General features: G+C 40.5%; 1 protein-coding gene across 7 annotated transcripts in view, besides 1 other annotated feature; it reads right to left on the bottom strand.

Annotated features, from left to right (window-relative positions):
* Positions 1-4,503: 4,503 nt before the first annotated feature.
* SLC35B4 (solute carrier family 35 member B4) overlaps positions 4,504-21,171 on the bottom strand; it is a 31,007-nt gene continuing 14,339 nt past the window's right edge. For 2 of the 7 annotated variants that reach the window (XM_011516645.4, NM_032826.5), the window contains exons 4-10: positions 19,977-20,026; positions 17,201-17,282; positions 16,933-16,993; positions 15,324-15,433; positions 14,695-14,770; positions 11,563-11,638; positions 4,504-10,251 (exon numbers count right to left, since the gene is read on the bottom strand). In XM_011516645.4, coding sequence (XP_011514947.1) covers positions 10,005-10,251; positions 11,563-11,638; positions 14,695-14,770; positions 15,324-15,433; positions 16,933-16,993; positions 17,201-17,282; positions 19,977-20,026 — 702 coding nt within the window. In that variant the 3' untranslated portion in view covers positions 4,504-10,004. Of the gene's footprint in view, positions 11,639-14,694; positions 14,771-15,323; positions 15,434-16,932; positions 16,994-17,200; positions 17,283-19,976; positions 20,027-21,171 lie in introns of all 7 variants that reach the window. The other 5 variants (XR_001744889.3, XR_001744890.3, XR_001744888.3 and 2 more) reach the window with 5 other exon arrangements.
* Positions 8,410-8,469: a silencer, noted in NCBI's record as "silent region_18671". NCBI's record gives its function as "represses an Ori minimal core promoter by ATAC-STARR-seq in GM12878 lymphoblastoid cells {active_cell/tissue: GM12878}" and the evidence as "EXISTENCE:reporter gene assay evidence [ECO:0000049][PMID:35858748]".

Consider the following 21,171-nt stretch of genomic DNA (forward strand, 5'->3'; position numbering starts at 1 on the left):
TGGCACCTTTTCACCCACAAGAAACCCCAGGTCCAAGAGTTAGGAGGCAGAAGTGAATGGCTTCTCATTGTTACCCATAATAACCCCTTGCAAAATTTTTATTTCTGATCCCCACAACTTCAAGTGCTGCTGGTCTGGAAGTTTTAGTTCTCAAGGGAGGAACGCTGTCACCAAGGAGTACAACAAAGGTTTAGTTGAGGAAAGAGTTGAGACTGCCACCTGGTCACATTTGCCTTTTTATGCCCCTGAAGCAGTAGACAAGAAAGACGATGACTACAGTTGCTGGGGGAATTGATCCTGGTTATCAAGGGGAAACAGAGTTCCTGCTACATCATGCAGATAAGGAATATGTGAAACTCAAGGCATTCCCTGTGTACCTTTCTTCGTACTTACATGTCCAGTGGTAAAAGTTAATGAACACCACCACCAATGTAGGCAGGAAAGGGAATCAAGGTTTTGGTCCTTCCACAAGGTGAAGACCCATGACCAGCAGTGGAGCTGGCAGAGGGCAAAGGGAATACAGACTGAGGAGTGGCGTATGGCCTCATGCACGATTGCTAACATAAGGATTACAACCCTGCATATCTTACTCTTTGCATTGTTACATACATATTAGTATATTACCATTAGTGAATTGATTTTATAGAAGATGTGTGGTTAGCTTTTGATTTTTGGCTTTAGGTTCACAGGATTATCAAAGGGGAACTGCCAACTGAACTAGAAATGGATATGGAGACTTAAGGGACTTTGAATCTCCATTTTGGGAAAGAATGATAGCATGTTCATTTGCATGAACGATAGTCACATCATATTAGGAGCATGCTGTTGTTGCTCATTATTTTTGTCTGGAAGTTAAACATTATTGTTGAATAGTCCACTACAGGGGTGGACTGTGCTGGATTGCCAGTTGCCAAGTCAGTTGTATTTCCCCATTCATTTCTCTCCTGTACCAGAGGGGCTGGGAGTCTTGGAATCTACATTTCCCATAATCTTTGCTGGCAGCTTTCTGGGATTCCTCTAATGACAGGTACTCGAGGTTTGGAAGGCAGAAGTGAAGCAGAAGGCAGAAGTGAAGCAGAAGGCATCAGATTGTTCCTCTGGCAAGTGGGCTTTTGCAGATGTGCCATTTTACAGTGGCTTCCACTTGTTTTCCTTGACAACTTCCTTGAGTGACTGACCCAGCCCCAATGTGCCTATCTCCTGTGAAAAATAAACCATCAGATTGGGACTGGTTTGAGTTTCCATTACATGCAATTAAACATAATCCTGATAAAATCTGCATAAAAGAGATGACAGCTAGTTTTCATTTTCTGAGAAAATTACGCATGCAAACACATCTGTAGAGACTAATGTTTTCTAGAACTAAAAACTGAGCCATAATATAGCATTGATCCTTTTTTGAGCGGGGGATGTTAGGCAATCCGGTGGATAATGGCTAAAGTATTAAGCTCCATTTGTGTCAAAGATACTGAATCATTGAAAATGAAAACTCATGTAATGATCCTTGTATAATGGTTGAAGGTTTATTATCAAAGGATAATTCAGGGATGGCATTTATCCAGGTAGGTGAGAAAATAGAATTTAAATGTTTTCTGGGACAGAACTTGGAGAAACTGAAAGACCAGTTAATATATAAATTAAATATTCTGCAAATTACACTTACTTAAGTAGCATTGATTGATGTTTTGATTCAATTACCTTTTTCTATTCTGTATATTTATTATTGCTGATTAACCTGAAACTCATATGCTACAGATACCAGAGAAAATGGGTACATTTTGATGTGAACATTTGAGAAGCAGAATGGCTTCAGAGTCCTGTTTTGCTGCTAACTTCCTGGGTTTTATTTTCTTCTTGCTGGTTGATATGGCTTGGCAATGTGTTCTCACCCAATCGCATGTTTAATCGTGATTCCCATATGTCAGGGGAGGGACCTGGTGGGGGGATTAGATCACGGGGGCAGATTTCCTCCTTGATGTTCTCATGATAGTGAGTTCTCGCATGATCTGATGGTTTAAAAGAGTGTGGCACTTCCCCTTCCCTCTCTTTCTCCTGCCACCATGTGAAGAAGGTGCTTGCTTCCCCTTTGCCTTCTGCCACGATTGTACGTTTCCTGAGGTCTCCCAATCCATGCTTCCCATTAGGCCTGTTAAGCCAGTGGAAGTGTGAGTCAATGAAACCTCTTTCCTTCATAAATTTACCCAGTCTCAGGTAGTTCTTTACAGCAGTGTGAATACAGACTAATACACCTGTACTACAGAACAGATCATAAGTTCTTAGGAAACAGGACATGAATTATTCAGACACATGATGACATAACAGACGCAAGACTTATTGATGATATTTAGCATATAAAAATCTACACCAAGCAGGGACACACAGGGCAAAGGGAGACTGTAGTCTCATTACTGAGATTTTTGAGGTGGCATAATGCAGGGATTTAACAGTATGCATTCTGAAATCAGATTTCATGGGCTCAAATCCCGGCTCCAAAATATAAGAGTAATTGAGGCAAGTTAGGAAGCTCATCTGAGCCTCAGATCCCTTATCTGTAAAATGAGGATGATTTTCTTGTCAACAATTTTTCATGAGGACTAAATAAATATAAGCGCCTTGCACGTAGTAAATATATGTTTACTATTATTACTATGTCACTCCATTTAATTGCTGGAATGGAACCTATTATTTTAACAATGCTGAAGATTCTGGGAAATCAATACAGATTTATGGCCTTCTTGAAAGGAGTGTTTCATGCAGTAAACTTCATTCAAAGCTATTACAGGAAATAATAAAACTCCAGTAATTATAATCATAAGCTCCCTTGGCTTAAAATGCATCTGTACATCATGGAGTCACATGTAAAAATGGAGCCATAGGCTAATTCCTTGAAGTGCTGATTAAGAAACAATCAGATACCAAAATAATTTTAATGATGAGATGATTTTAATTTGCAGATAAAGAACATTACTGAAAAGCTCTATTAACAAACACTTGCATAGCCAGATGTGCTTCGTTTTTCCTTTTAAAGAGAAATTTTGACATAAACACACATTCAACTCATTGACATGTATTCTTTTCTTATGGCTGCCTGATATGGTTCGGCTGTGTCCCCATCCAAATCTCATCTTGAATTGTAATAATCCCCACGTGTCAAGTGCGGGACCAGGTGGAAATAATTGAATCATGGTGACGGTTTCCCCCATGCTGTTCTCATGCTAGTGAGTGAGTTCTCACGAGATCTGATGGTTTTATAAGTGTCTGGTATTTCCCCTGCTTGTACTTCTCCTTCCTGCTGCCCTGTGAAAAAGGATGTGTTTGCTTCCCTTCCGCCATGATTTTAAGTTTCCTTAGGCCTCCTCAGCCATGCGGAACAGTGGGTCAGTTAAACCTCTTTCCTTTATAAATTACCCAAGATTGGGTATCTCTTTATTAGCAGCATGAGAATGAATTAATGCATTGCTCGAATGCTGAATGTAAGACGGGGACAAAGAAATTGGATCTTTGCTGACACCCACCTATGTGCTTGGAGCCTTTATTAATGAGGGACATCTCAGCCTGAGATACCACTGCATTGTCTGCAATTGTGTTTTGCTGCTAGCACCAGAATCACAGAGTTCTGTGTAGAAGTCTCCTCCAGTAACGAGATGATACAATTTGCTAGAGTTGACCTAAACCATAATTTAGTCCCCCAGAAGGTTCTTTACCTTTTTGTAGGCTTGTGGTTCGTAACATCTTAGAGTTCAACACACTCTAAGGCCCAAATGACTTGAGAGTGAAAGGGCTTCAGAAGCAGTGAGACCATTCCTGCGTGTAATGACAGGCCCAGGGCTGTTTAAGAACATCCAGCCCTGTCCTGATAAAACAGTAATGCCATTTTTAAAGAGATGAATTTTAACTATGCTATATTTAGTGCAAAATTTCTCATTTGTTTTTCTTTTTGTGTTCTGTACCTGGGGGCTACTGCATAACATGATTAAAAGTAGGCTGGGTGAGGTAAACTGCTTTGAAGAGTTACTTTCCAGCTGAGGTTTATTTAAAAGCAACATATCAAAGACAAAGAGAGCTGGTCACTGCAGCTGACAAAAGTCAGTGTATTTCTATCAAGGCAAAGAGGTTTTGAGAGATTTGCTATAGAATGTACTGCCACAAACCTCTAAAACTTCCAAAAGTAGGCTGATCCTCTGTAAACTAATTTCTGGCGCAGAAACCAGCCTGAGAAGTGGTTTATTACTGATCCAGCTGCGAGGCATTAGGAAGAGAGATTGCTGACAATCGTTTGTAGTAAAATATGCCACCACCACTATACAAGGTAAAAATTGGAGAGCTTTTGAAACTGCACACAGGCACTTCAAAGGTAATGGTGATTGGAAACACCTGCAAGAAATTTATCACTTTTATTAAGAAACAATGATGGTACAATTCAAGATAAACCCCAGATGTCTGATGAGTTGTTTCAGAAGGTAAAAAATAGCTCTCTATAAGAAATAATGGCAAAAAGACTCATTCAGTTTGGCAAAACATTTTATTCACAAAATCTCCCATTCCTCCTTAACTCTCTGCTCAAATAACTCTTAAGGCTGGAAGCCGATGTTTGATATTTACACAGCTCAAAATCTGAATACCCACTAATGTCTTGTAGCTGTTCTACGTACTCTCAGCTTTCTACTCCCTCCTCCCCCATCTTTGTTCTTAAAACCTAATGGTAATACTGTATGAAGAGCTCAGACGGGATGAATAAAATCCCCGCCGTCCCTCCCCACCACATAATTTGTTAGGAAATCCTACTTCTAAAATCATCATCTTTTTTTGGAGAATGAGGCCATTCTCTGGAATGAAAGCAACTGGCACAGAAATGACTGGCAATCGCAAGTGATACACAAAGGCATTTTTATTGCGCCGGGGAATAACCACTACTGCTCTCTTTGGTTCACAAGAGTCATCTATGCATTTCAAAAGATATCAGTAAGTCAATGTGCCAAAGAAATTATTACAACTTCTTTCTTAGAAAGTATCAGTATTTCTGCTTTTCTTTTTTCACGTATCTCTGGCTCCCTTGCAACTTGCCTCACTTGATTAAAATTGACAAATTTTGGTAGGACGGTTACCAATTTAAGTAGGTAAGGCTCAGGGGAGGTGTCTCAGTATGATACTGAGATCAGACCAACAGACAGTGATCTCCAGGCATCAGCTTCAGCTGCTACAAGCTAACTGTACCAACTATGGAGATGTAAGGGTGGGGCTGGTCACCCCAAGCAGCCTACTTCAAAAACTTTTAAGAATCTTTAATGTTCTATTAGGGATCTTCTTGCACTTTCTTCCTGAGCATCAAATATGTAAGGTGCTAACTACATAATACTCTTCCCTTCTACCACCAGGCAATCCAGAGCCAAAAGTGAGGTAGCAGGCTGCACACTGAGCAATCTCTGGTGTACCTCCTCCCAATAGTCGTTCTTCCTTCTCTTGCTTGGAATGTTAAAAATGTTTCCCCTTATTTGCTTTCTTGCCAACCCGCTGATGAGGAGTGGGAACAGGTATCACGAACCCTCAGGTTTTCCAGAAACTTGAGGGAAGAAGAGATCTTGGCAAGCATTCATTTATTCACATAACATAAGCCAGACACTATGCCAGGGGCTGGCGATACAGAAATGAGTAAGACATGATCCCTGGCCCCTCCCATCCCTGGAATGTCTACTAGGAAGAAGCTGCTAGAAAAAGACAACATGCTACTTTAAAGCCAAGAGGGGCCAGTCTCCCATTCCAGCTTGGTACACACTGAACACATTTGAGGCTTATGACTGGTTCTTTTACTTACAAATATTGTTTAGACACATTTTCAAATGTCACACCAATCAATAATAATAAGGAATGGATTTTATCTATATTGACAGTTCTTTCAACCTTAAGAGTGAACTGCTACAGGTAAGATTCAATCACATTTTTCAGGAGAAAGCTATTGAGACCAATATGCTTTGGTTATCTAATAAGGGTGGAATGACTTATAATGCTATTTACTCCAGGCAAAGAGAAAATACAACAGACATAGGATCTTGATTTCAACGTAGTTCTCCTCCATGTGCATTTCTCTGTCCGTTTAGGTCAATGCCAACTGGTCCACCAGTGAACATGTCCACCGGCCCTGAGCTAACTCATTGGTTTATTATTCCTGACCTAAGGTGTTTTACTTCCCCTCTCCATAGGTATCTGGCACTGTTGAGTGAAGCCAGTTAATGGGAAGGTAAAAATAGCAAAATAAGAGAGTATTGTTTCCCAAATAGAGAAGGGAATGGTGGTAGAGATTCTCAAATAGAGAAGGGAATGGTGGTAGAGATTCTCAGCCTCCATTTTGAGCTGTAACAGAATAAACAAACATTTCTACATTAACCCTTCACATTCATCGTCATCTACAGATATGGCATTCACACATTCTGCCAGATATTCTCACTATTATGAATGTACCCCCCAATATCAATGCTTGTAAGAATGTATAACAAAATACACGCTGTGCAGATATAAATACTCTGTAAAAATCCACAAAAACATCCAGGGGCCCCAAAGAAGAGAGGCATAAACAGATACAAGATGATAAGTCTTTCTTAGCAGAAAACGCTGCAAGTGAAGAAACTGGAGTGAAGAAAGTGGGGGAAGGAGTTCTGAAGTGAAACAGAGGAAAGCTGCTCAGGAGATGACTGCGGGATATTTATTAGAATCCTTGAAAAACATCACGCCATCTTTCCAGAAGAAGAGAAGAGGTTTACTCTGGGTGGCACAGACCAATTCAGCTTTCATGGTCTTCCTCCGTAGCACTGACCAAATCAAAATACTGCAGCGTTTCACTGTGGTTAACAGGATGGAAAGGAGGAAAAAACTAAAAACAAAGTATTTGGATTTGTCTAAATACTTTAGAACTTGATATAAATGTATCAAGTACATTACAGTTGTTTTAGTTGGACGAAAAAGAAAACAAAGAATCAAAAATAAATTACTAATAAACATGAAAAAGATAACATGTTTCTAATATGACAATAGAGTTTTGGCCAAAGATATGTAGACATTAAGCTAATACAATTCAAATATCCACCATCTTCAGTTACCTTATCTGTTACACTGTCAAGTTGTTCAGCAGGCACACAGGTGCACACACACACACTGTATTTTCTGGCTAGTGTCCTTTGCTATTTGATTTTTGCTCTAGCATAGAGTTTTGGATGTCTTAAAAACTAAACTCTTTGTAAACAAACAGTATCTTCATCTCTGAAGCATAAAATTACATGGTCTTGACCCAGAGAAAGAGGAGAGACATTTAATAGACATTTCTCTTCCAGTTAAGTAGGAGTCTGATCTTCTACAAAATAGTTTATTTGTCTTTTTAATAAAGGTTGAAAAAATGTCCACCCTGGATTAAAAAATCAGTTAACCAAGGGGAACGTATTTTTTTTTTAAAGAGTAGTTTTAAAAAGTATTAACTGGTGTCCATTAGACATATTTCCTTATATTCAGCTACTAGAGAAAAAACAGTTCCCAGGGAATTTGGGGCTTTCTGCTTCTATATGTGGTCATCTTGTGCGAGTGTTCTAATCTAATCTATTCCCTGCCCATACATAGCCTCCTATTCATAAGACTGGCTGAGGTATTCACGCTGAGATGAATACACATGCTCTAAGACCAGACGCGAAAACCTAATGGGCCCAAGTACTGTCTGTGAACATCAACACATACCCAATGAAGAAAACTTGTAATGTTTTCATCAACATAAAATGGGTGACATTATGTATGTGAGGCTGCATCCTATTAAGAGTTCAGAGACTCCAGATCCATAGCAATGAAGTCGCCTCTAGGGACAGGTTCTTCTATTAAGTGGTAAGAAAAAAGTAGCTTTTGTTGCTTTTAAAAGGTTATTTAACACTTGGATATTTCTAGCACCGTCAATTCTGAGGAACTCTACATATTTCAAAGCAAGTGGCTTTTGATCCTATGAATAGGTTCACTTCTAATTCAGCATCCTTCAGAAGAGCCCATTACTGGCTCTAGAAAGCTGTCAATGTCCAGAGCAACACATTATTACTCTGTAAACTCAGTGATTTAGGTGGAGAAATAATATCCACATTTTAAGTAACAAAAACCCGAGGCAGCTTAAATGACTTCTCCAAGCGACCTGGTGACTCTAGGACATTTATCTCCACTGCTGTTGCTCAAATCCATCAGAGAATAGCTCTGGACAGTGGAATAAACATACCACACCATGGAATGAGCCCAGGAGACCTGCAGAGCCACGTCTCAGTTTAAGAACACAATGTGTGCACCACACACACACACATACATACACACACACACACACAGTCTTTGTCTATAGGCAAACAGAGAAGTGGCCGGTGAGTTCAGCTGCTTACAGAGGAGCATGTACTGGTATGTAAGGTTCCAGCTAAGTAAAGAAAAGGGATGTGAAAGTGCAGCCACTTCCGTGCCCTTTGATCACACACAGACTACACAAGAGCACACAGAAGCTACGCATATTACAGCAACAGCGTTCCTCCTATTCAAGATTGTCCAGTGAAAGGAAAACTGGACCTCTGAAATGATTAGCAAAGAGAGGCATGTTTCCACACACAATAAAGCACATCCAACCATCCTCAATACCCATCGAGAATGCTAAGATACCTCATAGGACAATAACAACTTTCAATTGTCGTTGAGGTTTGACCTGATTTACACATCACACACTATATATCTCCATCTATGCATTCCCTTGATGGGTCGTGACTCTTAACAGAGTCATCGGGCAGAGGGGAATCTCCTGGTGGTGAAGCCTTATCCTCCCACTTGAGACCCACCCTTCTGCCCTGTGAGTGCCCGGCTGGGCCAACAGGGACAGCCATGGCTCTTGCGGTGCTGAGCAGGGCCATCCTGCCGTCACCACTGTGGCCTAGGCAATGGGCTTCAGGGGTGTCCAGTCCATAACAACCTTTCTTTTTTTTTTTTTTTTTTGAGATAGAGTCTCACTCTGTCACCCAGGCGGGAGTGCAGTAGCACGACCTCAGCTCACTGCAACCTTCATCTCCCGGGTTCAAGTGATTCTCCTGCCTCAGCCTCCCAAGTAGCTGGGATTACAGGCATGCGCCATCACACCCAGCTAATTTTCGTATTTTTAGTAGAGATGGGGTTTCACCATGTTGGCCAGATTGGTCTTGAACTCCTGACCTCAAGTGATACACCCACCTCAGCCTCCCAAAGGGCTGGGATTACAGGTGTGAGCCACCGTGCCCGGCACAACCTTTCTTTGTTATGAACACTGTGTCTGCTGTGAGATATGCTGCAGGGCCGCCCTAATCACAGAAAGCAATGGATAGAAGCATCTGACTTTTGCATAGAAAAAAAAAAAAGCAAAATGTGGGAAAGAGGAGTCCCACTAGTCTTGCTGCACTGTCACTGGGAATCAGCTCAGGGGAACATCTCTTTCCTTCCCAAAACGCTGGAGGAAGTCCAGCCCTGCTGTTACTGGTGTCTCGGTTTACTTGGCCACTCCTGGTGATAGTGGTGCCTGCAGCGTCTGACTGACTGTGAGGTGCTGCTGAAGAAGGAAAAGGTGATGGGAGACAAAAGGGATAAGGTCACAGGATGACAATGACTGCTGTAGCAGAGATGCATTACAACAGCAAGAGAAGGGACAATCTTTTCCAAGACCATGGATAGTAAGCCTTTTGTTCAGGAGACTCAGAATTCAGAAAACAAGAATAATACTGAATATGTCGGTAAACAAAACAGAAATAAATGAATGGGCTGTTCAATAGTCCAGAACTGTTCTTTTTTCTATTTTAGGGCTGAGGGGTTTCTATTTAGTCTACATGTGTCAGTCTGAGCAACGTGAGAAGTCCCCTCCTGAAGATTTCCTTTTGCACGGCTGGCTCAGCACTGCGGGTAGCTCGGCATTAACAAAAGCGAAACGGTGGTCAGACCTTCACAGGGTCCCACCCTCACGACGACACTGGTCTACGTACTCCAGACAGGCCTCAGTTCTTCTTGCTGTCCTTCTGAGGCTCACTTTTTGTGGTCCCTAGGTTGTTCCACACCTCTGTGTACATTAAGGTCCCAATGAAGACAAACAAGGTGCCCAGCCAGTGCCACAGGGTGAAGGGGTTCTGGAAGTACAAGATGGAAAAGATGAGGCTCACAAATTTGCGTAGGGTCACGACGAGCGTGACGGTGAGGGAGGCGCATTCTGTGGTGAGGATAAACACACCCCGGATGCACACGTACCTGGAGGAGTGGAGTCAAGGTAGTTTTCTGTAGACTGTACTTGGGGGATCAGTGAGAGAACCTTCTGGCATGGTCCCTGGTTTAACTTCTCATATTCTAAGAAAACATGAAGGTCCGCTACGGCAGCTCTGAGGCTCCTCCTGGGGAGAACCTGCAGAACAACTCCTGTCCTGCCATTCCATTTATGGGTACCAATTTGAAACCGCCAAAAAACCCCCAATTATTCTTATGTTGGAGTCTTCCTATGGTTACAATGACAGGCACCTCCAAGATAATGACAGAGGGTGACGCTCTCGGTAAGGGTGATCCCATTCACCTTTATTTATCTTGCCTCCAGCCCTTCTATCCCCTCCTCCAGAAAGGGACTCTGGCAAATCTAGGAGCTGACTTCAGAGGAATGAGGTCAATCTCGATTCGTTTCACTATTTCAAAGACATAATTATTTTTATAATGAAAGTAAGGTCATTCGAAATAACCATTTTAAAAAACGAAAACTTGATTACTTTGAAATTTCTTTTTTTTTTTGAGACAGGGTCTTGTTCTGTTACTCAAGCTAGAGTGCAGTGGAGTGATCAAGCTCACTGCAGCCTCGATCTCCTGGGCTTGAGCGATCCTCCCACCTCAGCCTCCTAAGTAGCTGGTAATTTGAAATTTCTTTCAGGACTTTGCAGCAGCTTGTGATCACTGGAAATATCTTAGGACACCAAAAAATCACAGGTACAAATCACAGATGATTTATGCTATACAGTAGTTCTTTGTTTGTTTTTTGAGATGGAGTCTCACTCTGTTGTCCAGGCTGGAGTGCAATGGCATGATCTCAGCTCACTGCAACCTCCACCTCTTGGGTTCAAGCGATTCTCCTGCCTCAGCCTATGGAGTAGCTGGGATTATAGGCACCCATCATCATGCCTGGCTTACTTTTGTATTTTTGTAGAGAGGGGGTTTCACCATGTTGGCCAGGCTGGTCTCAAACTCCTGACCTCAAGTGATCTGCCCGCCTCGGCCTCCTAAAGTGCTGGGATTACAGGCGTGAGCCACCACACCCGCCACTATCAATCAATGGACTCCTACACTTCCACTCAGAGCACTTCCTCCTGCTGCCCTGTGCCTTACTGACCTACTACACCACTAGCATCTCTTCTGCCCTCTACAAGGAGTTCCCTGAATTGGTCTCTGTCTCCAGCTTACCGCAGAATAAATCCAGCGAAAATCATATTCAAGTCAACACACTGTTAGAAGAAAAGAATGACCATTCCTGTGCCAAAAGAACCTGATGATGACATAAGGGTGACGGCACAGTCCAAAGGATACTGAGTGATGATGTTCATGAGGAGGTAGAACCACATGATGGGCAGGGTCACTCCGATGACGGGAATTTCATATAACTCTGTAGAGGTTACAAGAGGATATAGCCATATTGCTTTTTCACAGCTGAATTTTTCATCTTTTGAACAGGGTAATACAGACTGAACATAATAGGAACAGCAACATTGTCTTCCTTGCAAATAGAATTGGATCACGCATCACTTTACTTGCCTTGACTCCAGGCTATAGCAGCCACTAAAGTCATTAAATTGGTTTCTTAAAACAAATAATAGTTTTAATTTTTAAGGAAGTGTTTTACCATTTGCCTGAATAGTACCTCACTTTACAAAGAAAGACTGTGAAGCACAGAAAAGTTGAAAATGATAAAATGATATAGACAGCCTTAACAACTCAACACAAGAGGAAAGGCGGCTAGCAACTACTGTTTGGAAGTATGTTCAATCACACTAGTAATTACAGAATTCCAAAGTAAATAAGACTGTACCATTTTATAGCTACAAAATTAGCAATTCAAAACTTATTAATTTATTTTTGAGACAGAGTCTCACTCTGTCATCCAGGCTGGAGTGCAGTGGCATGATCTCAGCTTACTGCAACCTCTGCCTCCCAGGTTCAAGTGGTTCTTGTGCCTCAGCCTCCCAAGTAGCTGGGACTACAGGCACACACCACCACACCTGGCTCATTTTTGTATTTTTAGTAGAGACGGGGTTTCGCCATGTTGGCCAGGCTGGTCTTGAACTCCTGACTTCAAGTGATTCGCCTGCCTTGGCCTCCCAAAATGCTGGGACTACAGGCTTGAGCCACTGCGCCTAGCCAATTCAAAATGTATAAATAATATCTTAATCTGGCAAGTTGGTAATGGAACTGGCAGCCACAGGTTGGTGGCAGTATAACTTGGCGTCATTCTTTAAAAAAATCAATTTCATAATCCTTATTAAGGGTCTATAAAAGTATTCCTACCCATCCTTCAGAATTAATCCTAGTTTAATTCAAAGGAAGAAAAAGGTTCTGCACTCATTAAAGTACTATACATAATAAAGAATAACTCTGAATCAAAATCAAATGCCCAATGATGGTGCAATGGCTACATAAACAAAGGCACTTTCATTAGAGGAGGCATTGTACATTTGATAAAAACAAAAATCATAGAGATTTTATAGCCACATAAAAAAAACTCAGAAAAAAAGTAAAAAACAAATATAAAATTATATCCACACAAGGATTACAGCTATGTAAGAATCTCTGTAAACAGACATGGTCTAGAAGAAAATCAATAAAAATAAAATTGGCAGATGTCCAGGTTGATGGAACTGTGAATAACTTTAAATATATTCTTACATTAGTTTTAGGCCAGGAGTAGTGGCTCACGCCTGTAATCCTAGCACTTTGGGAGGCCAAGGCAGGAGGATCCCTTGGGCCCAGGAGCTCGAGACCAATCTACCATTCTGGGCAACAGGGAGGTCCTGTCTCTATTAAAAGACACATACACACACACACTCTCACTCTTATGTTAGCTTTATATAATGACACTTGCACAGTAAATTTGTGGGAGGAAATAAGATGAAAGAGAATACAGACATAGAAATCCTCAATGGCTCAGTTTTTTTGTATTACTAAATTTTTTTCAGGTTTTGAATTATACAGCATAATTTAAGAAATTCTGATACAATGATGCTGAGATCTGGTAAGAAATATTAATTTTCTTTCACGAATAAAATGTCTCATATATACATACACACGCATACACATAAAGACTAATTTTTGAAACTTAGTTCTGGATCAGTGGGCAATGCCAATAATCTGGTATTCTATTATCTTTGATATCCTTAGCAAGTATTGAAATGAAAAGGAAGTTAACAAACGTGATTACTTTTTAATAACTTCAGAGATACACTGAATCTCTGAAGGAAAGAGACAATGAATATCACTTAAAATATTTTGACAGATATTTAGCTCTCTTGGAAAATTCACGGATCTCAGAAACTTAATCTCAAGGAAAGCAAGAGAAGGAAAATGTATCTTTAACTTGGAAATGATTCTGGAGAAGTTGAAGGCAGATTCTGTAAAACATTTTATCATAAATACCTAGCCCTGTGATTTTTAGAAGCAGCATTCTAACAACTAAATCAATCACATGGAATTTGACAACATTTTTATTTCAATAGCCCTTTGCTACGTGGGACTTCTCAGAGATCTTAAAAACTGTTGTGTTAATATGAAGAAATGATTATTTGAGTAATTCAGAGCCTTACAAACTCTTACACACTACCTTCACATTTTTTGGGGGATGGGGCAAATGGGAGAGGCAACACTATAAATGCAGAGAATAGTCATAACTTCACAACTCATGCTCAGATAGCAAACAAATGTTTACTGAGCACCTACTGTCATTCTACAAAATGCACTTAAGCATTTGAGGTGTGTGCAACATAAAGCCTTGATTTTAAAAACGTTTATTTGTTCCTTGTGTGTTCAATGTGTCTATATTATACTCTGTTAGTAGATAATCAGATCATACAAGTGATCCCTTTCAAGTTAACTGACAATCTATAGCTAATTTATTAACTGGCCAGTTTAAAAAGTAACAGCTAACTTACACTAGACGCTTGAAACTAATTTTGCTTATTCATCTGCTGCCTGTCTCATCTGTAACTAGGAGAAAAACCTTGTCATCATTGAGCTCCCCTCTTGCTCTGCTCCATGGCAGCTTGGGCTGGATCTGTGAGCAGCTCTGCCTTTCATGGCAGAGAAGGATAAACAGCAGTTGAGAGAGCTGGACGGCTGCCCAACTTCGCAGGGCTCCAGTCTCTGCAGTGTGCTGTAAGTATTCATTTGCATTCTCAAAACATCAAACATTTCACATTCAAATGCAAACACACAAATTCCAAAGCAAAATGGAAAACTCGAAGATATTCTTTTACTTCATTTGTAAATAATTGAGAAACCCCTGTAAAAGCTTTTGCTGCTGCAATGACTGGAAAGTGGAATGGAGACATTTTCGAAAGGAACACATGATTTGAATAGGATTATGAAAAAGGCCGAGGTCAAGTCAAGAGTAAAACTGAGACTCTGCCTCAGAAACTGTCAGGTAATTCTACTGTCTAACCCCAAACTCACCAGACTTATTGAATAGAACTGCATGGTCATAAATATCAGAAGCCAAGAAGACGAAACCCGGAAGTGGAAGGGCGTGCTATGGAAAGAAACAGGTCAGATAAATGTAAGTGCAAAAACATTATAGAATAATTAGAGTAGCTTTACAATGATTAAAAGTCGTACAGGTTGTTTGACAGCAATACAAAGAAAAGCAAGTTAGACTTAAGTTAAATGTATACAGTGCTTCTTGACCACTTCACCTTGTATGGCAGGATATTAACCCCCAAATTATGGTTCTTGCCCTTATAGGGTCTGAGGGCCATCACAGACAAAGCAAACAATGGAGCCAGCATCCTTTCCTCAACAACAGGGAATGGAGAAATTTAAACATATAGTCTTTCTGCACAAAAGGATTTGCTAAATATGCAGACACAATTTAATTTGCTTTGATTGATCGTGATCATCTCATGTAGTGAACTGTGACTTGGAACCCACCAGAGCATCCCATCAAAACTGCTTCAGTCTGTGGGTCTCAAAGCCATCTACCAATAATACACCTTCAACTACATCAGAGAATATTAATAGTTCACTTGAAGTAACATTTTACAACTTAGGAATTTTCACGTTCCCAGGTTCAGGAAGTTGCTTACATTATAAAACAAAGCCTCCTTGGAGTGTTTCCCAAATCGTTTGTAGAGAGTCTCTTGGAATATCCCCATCCTTGCTGACATCAGAAGAGCAAAAGTCAATGCCCCAATACCTAAAAAACAAACATCAGGTGACAAGATGTCTGCATTTGTTCATTTCCAGATGTTTTTCTTGAAGAACATTATTGTTTAAAGTCCTGCAAATATTATGAACTAATTGTAGAACATGTACAAAACTGTAAAAAGAAATAAAAATACATTATTACCATCTAGTCCTTTACAGCTTTCTACATCTTCTTATATATTCATTTATGTAAATTTTTTTACACTAAGACAGGATCAGATTGCATATGGAATTTTATATCTTGCTTTTTTCATGAGCTTTTGCCTGGAATTTTGCTTCAAATCAGTCATTAAAATTTTTTAAATAGAATGCTTTTAATGACTATGATATGGATGTAGCACACTTAAATGTATGAGGATGGTTATTTCCAATTATTTCATTATTAAAATCAATGTACATCCTTGTATACAAATCTTTAAACAAATGTTGATATATTTTAGGATAAACCCTCATAAGTGGAATTACTGAGTCAAAGGCTGTGGACATTTAAAAAATACAATACACAATATTTTTCCATAAATGCTGTGTCCATTTATACCCAAACTATTTTTATTATATAAAAATAGTTGTTTTACTGTACCCTCAGCAGCAATGAGATAACCATTTATCATCTTGCCAGTATGATAGGCCAACATAAAAAGGTATTGCATGGGTTTCATTTGCATTTCTCTGATTACTAGACTAGTGAGGCTGAACCTAAAATTGTTGGGTGCTACTATTTCCCCCATGAACTATATGTTCATATCCTTTGCAAATTTTTCTTCTGGAGTATTTTTCTAATAGCACATAAGGATCTTTCTATGTTACAAACAGCAACAAGGGATAAAGTCTCAAAGCCAAGAAGCAAGGAGAACACAGTTCTTTCACTGCTATTTCTCTTCCAATTGGTCAGTCTCAATCCGTTATTGTTGTCATTGAAAGCCCTTGGAACGAGTCTCAGCTCCATATCAAAAAATGTGAGAACAAAGCTCTACAGGAGCTGCCTATTTAATTCCACAGAGATCCTTGTATTTTTAAAAATTCCCCAGGAGATTCTGATAATCAGTCAGGTTTGGGAACACTGCCATATGGAACAGCTAACCTCTGAAGAAAATAAGTCTTTAGAAATGAGTCCCTCGGAAATTTAAAGAGTCAATTGCTCTAACGTGCCCTCTTGCAGAAGCTTCAACTTGGCAGACAGATCGTGAAGAGACGGATGACATTCAAAGGATGTGATGTGCAAGTAGACACACACTTTTCTTTCTACACCAGTGGCAACCAAGAAAAACATGGATCCATGTTGTAGAACATACTGCCATGAATGTGGGGGCATTTTCTTTTTTTCATTTCTTGAACGCTAAGGCTCAGAGAAATATGATCCCAGGTGCCTCTCTTCCATGGCATAATTTGTTTAGCTGAAGCTTCTTGCCAAGAAACATTTCTCTTAGGAGAAAACTCAGCAAACACAACTGCAGAGGCAATTAGCTTTATTATAATTATTGTACTTGCCTAGTAACCACCACACAAATGCCTGGAATCCATCATTCTCACTCAAGCTGGACTGGGAAGTCTAGGAAATAAGAAAATAAACTAGGTACAGAGAGCAGAACTACGTGCAAGGTGCCGACATACAAGGGAAACATTTATGTTACCCATTTCCCTCCCCTCTTCTCTTTCAAAATCTTTGTATTACATAAAAATTTGAATTGTATTAATTGCCTGGTAACTGGGCCCCAATAGCAAGTAGTGAACATAAAATAATTTGTGAGCTTCTTACCACCTGCTTTGCTGACATAAAAGTGCAAATAAATATCCCCACAGACACCAGGGCAATGGAGGTATATTTGAATATACTGTATCTGCAAAAAAGAAAAAAAAGAAGAAAAACACCTTAGGAAAGCACAGATATGAATTTCCCAGTGATATTTACAGTCAGATGGTGCATGAAAGTACAAATCACTAAAGTATGACAGACAGGATTACTTTCCAGCAGAGTCCACAGAAGTATGCATATGAATGAATCAGGATACTGACTAGTTTCTAACCAACACTTTTCCTTAGTACTGTTTAGTCTGTCTCCAACAATTTGCTGACCAATCGATTATTTCATCAGGAGACAAAAACAGAAATAGACCAGATGTGATGTTGCATTCTGCTCTCAAGAGTCCAGATGAAAGGCTGACCCAGTCCTTACTAGGATCTGTTGCTTTTCCTGTCTTTAGGGGGACCAAATCTGTGTCCTAAGACACACTGTGCGAGTGGAAAAACAGGCTATCAGGTGCAAGCAGCAGGATTCAATGCTCAGAAAATAATCCAATCATCCATTCTCTGGGGGAGGCTTGTTTTTTTTAAATCTCTGAATGACTTAACATTGTTTTAAAATGTTGGCATAGTTGGATAAGGGGGAGGATATTCAGATTATAGAACTATGGGCTGTAATAACAGTAGCATTTCACATTAGCTAGTATCATTAGCACCCTCTCAGATTTTTGGTGATCAAGCAAAAGGCCTCAGGCAAGGATTAAAAGAAATTAAGAAGATGAACCATCCCAGGTTTTCTACTCAAATACATAGTATTGTCCTGGTCACAGTACCTCATAAAAGGCCAGCAGAACTAGCTAATGGGCAGAGAAAGGGACTAAAAGGGCCAAGAGGACCACGCTAGAGAGCGGTTGGGGAGGAAGCAGGTACGAGCGGAGGTACGGTAAAAAATAATGAACCTCTTCAGTCTGCAAAGATCACGCTGAAGAGGTTTACAACTGAGGCCAAAAATAATAATAAAGGCATGGGTAAGGTGAATATAAATTTGATATTCAAATCCTGGAATGAGGAGCACACTATGAACTTGAGGGGCTTCTACCCAAGATAAAAGGAGATAAGAAGTTACTAATTTACTCTGTTGGAAAGTTAACTTATGGAAATTCCTGCTCAATGGGAAAGAGATACACACAGAAAAGAGAGTCAAAAGGCTTAGATAGATGCAAGATGACACACTCAGAACAAGTTCTTAAGGGCAACAGATGCTTGAGAAAGACCCGTAACATTTTGGGGCACTATCAGGAGAATACAATTTCTCTTATAACATGTTCTTTTGTATCCTTGTCATGAGCCAGAATCAAAGGTTGGGAAAGAGCACAGGCCTGTCCCAAGGCGAATTCCACACTATAAGAAGCATGATGATCACTTCAAATGTAATAAACCTGACCATCATATGTATATATATATATATGTTTAAATGCAGAGAACCAAGAAGAAAGAAATCAACTACAGTAGTACTTTTCAGGGAATTCATAAGCCTCAGGAGATAAACGGTCCATGATATGAAGCCTAGTAGGACAGGACAATTGTTCTTTTTATGACACAGCCCTTAATACTTAAAAACTCTAGGTTCTCACATTCTGAATTTACAGCTACTTTCCAAGCATGTATAGAGAGCTTGGGGCTGGATATCAAATACATTGAAACGCTGCCATCAACTTGTATAATTTTGGTCTTAACAGTGAACTTTCCCTGATAAATTTCCCAAACTGTATGTGTTGTCTCTTGCTAACATCCTTCCTCCTTAGGAGTGAGGGGTGAACCTCAGAATGAAGGTGACAGACAAAAACTTTGAAAAAGCATCCCAGGTACTTCTGGTATTTCCTGCTCCTGTCCCCCCTGCTCCTGTCCCAAAGAGAGCCATTGGTGATGGTCACAAAGAACAGTCCTGAACCTTTCATTCCATCTTCTTGGCTATTTGGGCCTTTTTAGGAATTTCCTTTTTAATATGTACAACCATTCCTTAGTTTGCTATGCTGTACTGATAAGCATCTTCTAGGGCAGAAGTATCCCATGGAATTTCTGAGATGTTAGAAATGTTCCACATCTGGGCTCTCCAACGTGGTCACTACCAGCTCTGTGAGTCTACTGAGCACTGAAAATGTGACTAGGAGTTTGAGACCAGCGGGGACAACATGGCGAAACCCAATCTCTACCAAAAATACAAAAAAGTTAGCCGGGCATGGTGGCACATGCCTTTGGTCCCAGCTACTTGGGAGGCTGAGGTGGGAGGATCACTTGAACCTGGGAGGTGGAGGCTGCAGTGAGCCGAGATCACACCACTGTATTCCAACCAGGATGACAGAGTGAGACCTCGTCTCCAAAAAAAAGAAAAAAAAATGTACGTGACTAATGAAACTGAGACACTAAATATTTAATTTTCTTTAATTTTGAAAAATGTAAATAGTCACACGTGGCTAGTGGTGACCATACTGCACAGTGAACCTCTCTATCATCTTTGTAAGTTGGCTTCGCAGGTTAGTATGACACTAAAATTCAGTGATGCCAAGAGCTATTCAGTTCGACACAGAGACACCACAGGTGTGGCCTCTTACCTGATCAGCTGCTTCAGGACATTGCATGATTGGGCCTCACTGGTAAAGAACTAAGAAAAGAGGTAGATGGCCAGAAGCAAACTTATCACTATTTTGGGACAAGGAATCCAGGTGACTAGCTTATGGACAGGGGCTCAGGGTATCATTTCCATACACAAAATACAGAAGTGTATTGTTTACCTTTTCTTCAAAATGATAATTCCTAGAATCATGTTGGCAATTAGAGAACCCTGCAAAAGGAGACAACAGTAACAGAGAGGTTTAGTGCACTAGGAAAAAAACAACGTAATTCGAGAGAATAGGAACATGGGCAAGGGGAAAAAACATGGAATGAAGGAAGCTAGGATGAATAATTAGTAAAGATTTAGTTGTTCTTATGATGGCAAAAGTATAAACCATAAAAATCTACTATGATGGCCGGGCGCGGTGGCTCACGCCCGTAATCCCAGCACTTTGAGAAGCCGAGGTGGGCGGATCACCTGAGGTCAGGAGCTTGAGACCAGCCCGGCCAACATGGTGAAACTCTGTCTCTACTAAAAAATACGAAACTTAGCTGGGCGTGGTGGCAGTTGCCTGTAATTCCAGCTACTTGGGAGGCTGAGGCAGGAGAATCCCTTGAACCCGGGAAGTGGAGGTTGCAGTGAGCCAAGATCGCGCCATTGCACCTCCAGCCTGGGCAACAAGAGCGAAACTCCGTCTCCAAAAATATACGTATATATATATATATTTAAAAAACCTTTTAAAGATGACAATGAGAATAAAAAGGATCAATTCTCAATATAGTCATTATCAGCCCTCCTTATAGGCATGTTTTGCATCCCGTGAATACTGTATTTTCATATTTGTTTGAAAAAAATTTGCATATTTGTGGACCCACGTGGTTTAAACCCATGTTGTTCAAGGGTCAACTGTAATTGCTCAGTGCTGAAGCCAGGGCTAGCACGAATAAATGATATCACAGACTTATTTTTGTCAAAATTTCCATCACCTAATTTATAAGAGCTTTTAATAAGTTTCTCCCCATTACCTGCACCTTCTACCCCCGACCAGTTTTTTCTTCCCTCAGACGGAGTTTTGCTCTTGTTGCCCAGGCTGGAGTGCAATGTTGCGATCTTGGCTCACCACAACCTCTGCCTCCCAGGTTCAAGCGATTCTCCTGCCTCAGCCTCCCGAGTAGCTGGGATTACAGGCGTGTGCCACCACGCCCAGCTAATTTTGTATTTTTAGTAGAGATGGGGTTTCCCATGTTGATCAGGCTGGTCTCGAACTCCCAACCTCAGGTGATCCACCCACCTCAGCCTCCCAAAGTGCTGGGATTACAGGCCTGAACCACTGTGCACAGCCCCTGACCAGTTTTAATGGAAAAAGTCATGCA

Source organism: Homo sapiens, chromosome 7, assembly GCF_000001405.40.
Source record: "Homo sapiens chromosome 7, GRCh38.p14 Primary Assembly".
Lineage (NCBI taxonomy): Eukaryota > Metazoa > Chordata > Mammalia > Primates > Hominidae > Homo > Homo sapiens.